Here is a 7,893-nt window from a genome sequence, read left to right as displayed (position 1 = left end):
GTTATCAATATTCATTTTCATTAGTAAAAAGTGCATAATTTAAATGTAATAAAAATATTTACTCCAAATAAGCAAGTATGAATAAGATAATACTTAATGTGATCAAAAATGCAAAAGAACACTATTATTTAACATATATTAAAATTAGTGTAATTTTTTTCCTAAAGAAAATAATTATCAAGAGACTTAAAAACACTGATAATTACTGACTCAGTTTTTCTATTTCTGGGTTTGTGTGGTTAAGTATAATCACATATATGCACCAAGACATAGACACAATCATTCCTACTTCAATAATAATACATCAGTGTGAACCATCCCTCAGAAAACATTTACTATGATCTTACCATAAATGCTAAGAGATCAAGTCTCACCTGCCTGAACTGAGGTTGACAATTACATCATCTGTATGATACTCATATCTTAGCATTGGTCCTATTAATTCCACAAGAGGCATAAACCTGGACATTCCAGGGAGATGTATGGTAACCCAACTAGTCCAAAGCCCTAAATTATGTGTGTGTTTGTACTGATTTGGGTGGATCCTCTACCTCTATCCTAATCCATGAGGTAGCTGACCTTGAACAAAGACACTGCAAGATCATGACAGACATAGCTAAAAGTGTCTAGATTGTCTAAAAATAAAGAAACAACAATGAAGGTATGTAAATGCCTGATTATTCTAGACTATTTTGTTTCTATGCCATGATTTTGAAATATCAAGTTTCGTGTAGAGTCAGTAAGAGTCTATTCAGTAGGTTTCCATCCTGTATGATTAGAATAAAGCCTGACTAGCAATGTCTTACTTGTTAATAGTCTTCAGCATACTTCATCCTGAATACGCCATGCTTGTCTCCTACCCATCTGAAGACATACGTTGTTATACACACACGTACACACACGAACGATATAAACTAAAGATTACAAAAGCACTCATTTGGGCCCAAGGTAGTATTTTTCTAATTAAAACCACTCCACCTTAAGAAAAAAAATTGCAAATTCATGATTTGCATATCAGGATTCATTCCTGAAAGCTTTAATTGCTCAAATGTAATTTGTTGAGTACCCATTTCTGCAAAAAAAAAAGAAAAAAAAAAAAAGGAGCTGTGCCTGAAACTGAACCTTCAAAATAAGATGAGGTCTCTGGAAATTCTTGCAGTCTGATCTGAGAGCTTGGCCTTTTTCTAAGTGGTCTGATAATGTGGTGTCAACGCACAGGAGACTCGATCTAGCCAGGAAGCATCCATCAGACAGTCACATGTTGGGAAAAGTTGTCCGTTCTCTCTCAAATTCTCAAAATACTACTGAATTTTGTTTCTGGCTCACAATACTGCTTGCTTTTGGGTAGTGTAATATCCCATTGCCAAATATTACACTGGCAACTCTACTGATAGCAGTGGATGTGACTTTGACAGAGAAACTGCCCAGGATGTTCTGTTGTAGCATGGGGAGCTATAAGGCATATGTCATTTGAAAAAAAGCACTGCTTGAACAACATATTTCATAACTGTTTTTCCCTTGGCAAGTCTAAAATAGATATGTGGGAAATAGCAGATGAATCACGGGCAGCTTGAAATTTAGTCATAAGCATAAATGTTCTAAGAGTGTACAACAGGACTTTGCGTCCGTCAGTGAGGATAACAAGTCTGTCATTGGATAGATCCTAAGTGAAATTAGATATAAAAGAGAAATGAATTGAATTTACTGGACAACATTCTTCAGATCTGCTGGGACATATTTTCATTTTCTGTGAGTACTGGAATGGATTGGGACAAGGTACGTGTTAAAACTTTAGGCTAGACAGAACGTGAGTATTTTATCCTAGCAAAGGTCAGCTCCCAAAGACTGTGGAATGAACAACAAGGAGATGTGATAAATAATTAAGGACTAAATGTAATGCAAAGTATTTACTTCTGCTTTCTTAGTAATAAGTATTCCTTTGGAACTTACTGGAAGCCACAGGCTGTTTTGCAAACCAATTATTTCAGTGGGCGTTTCATTTTCTTACATGTACGATACATTATGCAGGTAGAAATAGCAGGGCCCTCACTCTAAACCTGCGATTTCCACAACCCCTCCAAGCTTTCCTACCACAGTCTTGGGATGCTCACTTCCTTGGTGTTCACATTCTGCTCCGTCGTATCCTTCAAGTCTCGTCTCAGCGGCTGGCTCCTCATCAGAGCTCCGCTGTCTTCTTCAGCGCCTGCCAGTGACTCTGCCTCCTTGCCCCGTTGATTGTTTCCATTATTCATACCACATACTACTCTTGGAAATTATCTTATTTATGGCTTTGGTTTCTGCTTACTGCTTTTCTCCCCTATTTCTCTCAGGGAATGAAAGATCCAGGAGAGGTGGGATGGGGGGTTCCCCTGTCAATCTCTGGGTAATCGTGGTGCCTGTCGATGGTAGACACTTAATACATGTATTTTGATTTCACTGAATGAAGTCTTTACTTATCAGGTACCAATTCCCCTCCAGTGGAAAATAGCACATAACTCGGGGGCTCACAGAGCCACAGTGATTGTGTTGACAAGAAAAGTCTTCCTGTCACGGTAGCTGTTCATTCACATGTGACATGGAGCACGCTGCTGTCGCTTTCTATTCACGCCAGCCTCTGTGCCCAGAAAAACCACCAGCTGCTGGGGTGTCAGGGCTGTGGATCTGCTCAGAAAATGTAATCAGAGTCTTAGAGGCTTGCATTTGCTGTCACCAAGTTGACTGCTTAACAATCTGATTCTTTGCAATTCATTCTTCAGGGACTGGTAGCTGGTAACCAGTTCATACCATGTAAATACGTAGGAGGGCCATTTTTTTTTTTTGCTTGTTCTGTGGCACAATCGCCCAACTTTGAGCTGTCTGCAAGTATTTAAACTCATCAAAAATGATTTTTGTCTTTAATAAAATAGAAACATATGCGGAAAATACAATACAATTGTTTCTCAGAGTTGCTAAGTTTCAAAATTCATATAAGAGGAAAATAAAATTCCCCTTGCTTTCCATTCCCTACCTCATTGCTGCTTCAGCTGTTTTCTCATTGCAACTGGGTTTTTTTTTTTTTTGCAGTTTTGTTTTTAATAAACACTGATTATGATCATGATTACTTGCCTAAATGGGATAAACATTTAAGATTTTTTTTTTCATGTGTATTGAGCTTCTGCATGACTGAAGCTCATGAAACTGAAATTTAAATGTGAAAATCCAAGGCCAATTTTGTTGTCAATAGTAAGAATGACAAGAGCTATAAAATTTCAAGTCATGAATTTTTCATACCAGGGTGTTACAAATGTATCTTTACTCCTTACAACAACCATGCCAAGTGGAAACAATTTTCATTCTACATGTGAGAAACCCAGACTCATGGTAGGACTGTGCCATGGAATTTCTTCTAAATGTTTTATTGTATATAGTTTCTCAATCTAAATATAAAGCCAGAGTTGGGTGTTATCTATTGCTTTTGAAGGGAATGAGAATATAAGCCACCTAAAAATTTTACATGTACCACGGGGAACGGGAGACTTCTAGGGGAGGGTCATTGCCATGTGCATATCCACATATCGTGGATGTTTAGAAAATATTTGTGCCCAGCTGGTGAAATGACCCAAATTTGATAAAGATACAACCATCCCTCACCCTGGATGCTTTTCATGCAGGGAAAGGTGCCCAAACCACTCTGCCATAAAGAACAGAATCATCTGTTTGGCACTTAATCATTAATTTCATTTATCATTTTATTGGCTATGTTACGTTAACTTACCGTGTTGTGACTTGCTAAATAATCAGTTGTGCTTGTTGTATAAGGTGTACTGAGTGAAGAAAATAGATGCTTGCTTATGTAAAAATAAAATTAAACAAAAATGTGAGGTCATTTTCAATACCTACGTAACTAGTATTTGAATATTTTCAGTGAAGTGTTATTTAGATAATGTTCCATTTTATAAAGAAAATTAAATTTGAATTTGGATAATGTAAATGTCCAAAGATTAACACTATAAATATCACTGGGTATTTTTGACATAGATCATTTATTTGGAAATTTCTAAAATGAAGAAAAGGGTGATTTTTCTTTTTCACTGTGAACATCAAACTTTAAAAATAAATAACATATTTGATTCAGGGTAAATTGATGTATCTCCCTCTATATTTATACCTTAAAAGAATTTGCAGGTAGGCAGATGTTGCATTCCTTTATAGAAACATTTATACTGTCTTTTATTTTTGCTTCCCCATTGATGTGCATGAAGATAATTACATATGATCCCTGACACTTTATTTACCAATATGATGGAATTAAGTATGGTTTGATAATTTGTTTCTTTTAAATGATAACCTAATGAATTCATTTTTTCAATAAGGTATTTCCATCAAACCTAGTTGGACTTTTAAAGATAAATATCTGAGTCTCTCTTGAATTTTGAATAATTTTGTTGTTTTCAAACTCTCTAAATATTTTACTTGATTTTAAAATAATATTTATTTTCCTAAAAAATGATGTTTTTCTTAAAAGGTTAATGTTTTTTCTAAAAATGTCTGCTCCACAGTCTTTTATAAAACATTGTTATAAGTCAGTTGACCTAAGGAAATAAGATAAAATACAAATATGGAAAAGAAAGCCATAATGTGCTGAAGTCGTAGATTTACAACTTTACTTTGAAAGGCATTCTTCATAGCACTTAACACCCCCTAACATTCATTCTTGTGCTTGTTAACTCTAGCCTCCATCCTGTAGAATATAAGAAAATAAAAACAAATTTTTGTGTGTTTTGTTCCATTTTGCATTCATCACTTTGAACAATTAGAATATTTCAGATGCTCAGTACATTGTCGAAAAAAATATTTGTTGACCAAAGTTAGAGACCTTGCTTTTCAAATACTAACAGTGAATAAACTGCATTAGGGAGGTTGAAACTGATTTTATTTTGAGACTGAAATTAATGCTACTTGAGTCCGGTACTCAAGTAGCTTATTTAACTAATTTAATATTAATTGAGCTCAATTGAGTGTTTAACAATTTTCCGAGTGGGAACTCTGTGCAGAAAAATATGAGTAAAGGCATTGCTCAGACAACCCATGCCCTCAGGAAAGCACTAACACTAACAAATATAAGCCATGGAAGAAATGGGGGAAAAGGAAGGAAGCATGTCTTTGGTCAATTTGATCAAAGAAGAATGGGTTCATCTAGAAAACAAAAACTGCGTGGTTCATTTTGCCTGTTTGACTGCACTGGATTTTCCAAATCTCCAAAAGCAAACATGCTTGCAGAAGAGAAATGTTAAAGAAGAGTGTTTATCTGGACAACTTGTCACTCTTCTTACGCTTAGGGACTTGCAAAATCTGTATGAATAAGCTGTAAAATTTTATTTGAGCATAACTAAAGATTATTACTTTGTAGAAATATCTCCTGGCCACAGGAGGCCACTGTGGCTGCAATTATAAATCCCTGACACCAGCCTGCCATGCAGAATAGTGTAACTAATTTTTAATATTAATACCACTTGTCTAACACTTGGCATGTTATATTATAGAATACTTATCTGCACGTCCATCACATCCTTTGTATTGTAATTCCCTCAGGCCTTATGTGTTCCTACATTCCCAGGAAAGATACAATTTATATTATAATTTTAATAATTATTAGGGTCTTATCCAATTTATCTAGGCCAACTCAGTATCATATGTATCACATAGATTATTTTATAAGGAATAAACAATATTTAATTGAATTAAATTATATCATTGGCCATAATAGAAAGGTTAGTAAATAGATTGAAAAAGAAAGAAGAAATACTAAATCTCCTTTAACATATTTGGGTAGATTCATAGGCTCCTACAGTAATATCTTTCTACAAACTTACTGTTTACAGAACTTCTTAAAAACCCTTGTATATTCTGGAATGATGAACTTAAGGCATCTGTAAAATCAGTTCTAAAATCACAAAGGGATACATTTTGTTTATGTCTAAACCTTTATTGTGCATGCCATAGAAACATTTCCTTCTTTCAGATTATTAAATTATTGGTTATTGTTTTAAAAATGAATTTTTATTTTTTTATTTAACATAACTTAAAGAGAAGTTTGTATATTGCAATAAAAGAAAATTTCTCTAAAACAGGATTCATGAGTAATTTAGTTTGTCCCCTGTGTGATTGCTCTTTAAGAGTTTTATTTGTATTTTTGAGCAATCTGGATTATTTATTTTACTCTCATCAAGATTCATAAACAGTAGAATTGTTGACTGATTTGATTGCTTTTACAATATTTATTAATCTATGATTTTACGAGAAATGAATTTCGAAGTAAAGAAGAGGTCAGATGCATGTTTATAAAATTCAATTTGCAGTTTAAATCCCTTAATTAAAATGTTTAAGTACACAAGTTTAGATTATTTGGAAGTGTTCTGTGAAAGCTGAATCAACAAAACAGAGGATAAGGCATATTTAAGATTGTTATCTTTACACAATAACTGTTCTGATTACTTTTCATTAGTTTATTATAGCAGAATGTTTAGAAATTATTTCAGTTGTGTATTCAGGAGAATACCTTTCTACCTATGCATGCCCTTCTTTGCTCTATGAGTTCTCCTGCTGCTCCAGCTATTATAGATACAGTAATAAGCTGGTGATGTTTTAAGCTAGCTACTATCCTGTTACTACTGTGTTTTTGTATTCAACTAAAACGGAGCATTTCTTATAAGTAACAAATGTAGCCGTGTCTTGGGAAAGTGGTGAGTAACACAGGGCTCTGGTCCTAGGAATAGTCATAGCACAGTGGAGGAGAAATCCTATAAACGTAGACATGCAACACAATGTGTTAAAAACTACATTAAAGGTATGCCCACAGTGTTTTAACAACACAGATGCTGAATGAAGTAAGTCTGCTTTGCAAAATTTGAGCAACTCTTTGTAAAATAGGTTGATTTCAGTAGATGGAGAGAAAAATTCTAGGGAGAGAAAAGGTGATAATGAAATAAGTAACAATCGCCGTTGATTTTTTGAATACTTAGTACATACCCGACTTTTTATACTATTACTCAAAATTAGGTAATGAAACAATCGAAGCGACTTTTTCATTTAACAAACAAGGAAATTGAGCTATAGTTACACTAAGTGAATTGTTTAAAATCACATTGCATTCGTTTGTTCATTTATTCATTAATTTATTCAAAATTTATGTCAAGCACTGTACTAATTACCAGGGGTGTGGGACCTGCCTGCAAGGAGCTTCCTATCCTGTAGATCCAGCTACAAAACAGCAGAACCAGCTCTTTGGGGGTTCTCTGGATACCAGTCAGTGCTCTTGATCTGCATGGGCAAAGAGAGTTTGAAGTAACCTAGTGGTCACAAGTGTGACTGAATCTGAATACCAGTCTATAAATAATAGTGCCTAGAGGGTAACATTTGAAAGAGACATCTGAGCTAAGTTTATTTCTATCATGTTAAGGAGTTTGGACTTCACCTGGTAATCTGATACTGTAAAAAATCTAAAGCAGGTGTGTGACATTATCAGATAGAGTCCTAAGAAGACAGTCATGGCCACATTGTAAAAGAGTGATTAAATGGAGGAGAGCTGGGAGACAAAGTTCACAGCATGAAGGCAGAAAATGAAAACATAATCACAGATGATTAAGTTATTTATAAAGCATATACATACACCCATCAGTGGAGTCTGAGGTATTTAACTTGTTCTATGTTTGGAATGAAAGCTTGCTTGATTTATTTTTGACTTCAATTAAAAAATACTTTTAAATCACTAAATTTTTCCTGGGGCAGTCTTATATATTGAAAACAAACAAACAAGGTAAAACATTACCTTATCAAAAAACAGAGACCTCATTTAAAATTTTGAATCTCTCCTTTATAATTTGTATGAATGATGTTAAACCAGTTACCCTTCAG

The 7,893-nt window shown here is 34.4% G+C and overlaps 1 protein-coding gene across 3 annotated transcripts in view; it reads left to right on the top strand.

The window, feature by feature from the left end:
* The first annotated feature begins 1,579 nt into the window (after positions 1 to 1,579).
* Positions 1,580 to 7,893, top strand: part of CBLN2 (cerebellin 2 precursor) — a 101,841-nt gene continuing 95,527 nt past the window's right edge. For all 3 annotated transcript variants that reach the window (XM_006722394.4, XM_017025559.2, XM_011525824.3), the window contains exon 1: positions 1,580 to 1,776. The gene's annotated coding sequence lies outside the window, so the exon portion shown is untranslated. The remainder of the gene's footprint in view (positions 1,777 to 7,893) is intronic.

Source organism: Homo sapiens, chromosome 18 (genome assembly GCF_000001405.40).
Source record: "Homo sapiens chromosome 18, GRCh38.p14 Primary Assembly".
NCBI lineage: Eukaryota > Metazoa > Chordata > Mammalia > Primates > Hominidae > Homo > Homo sapiens.
The sequence above is the reverse complement of the archived record's forward strand: the minus strand, read 5'-3'. Positions and strand labels throughout refer to the sequence as shown.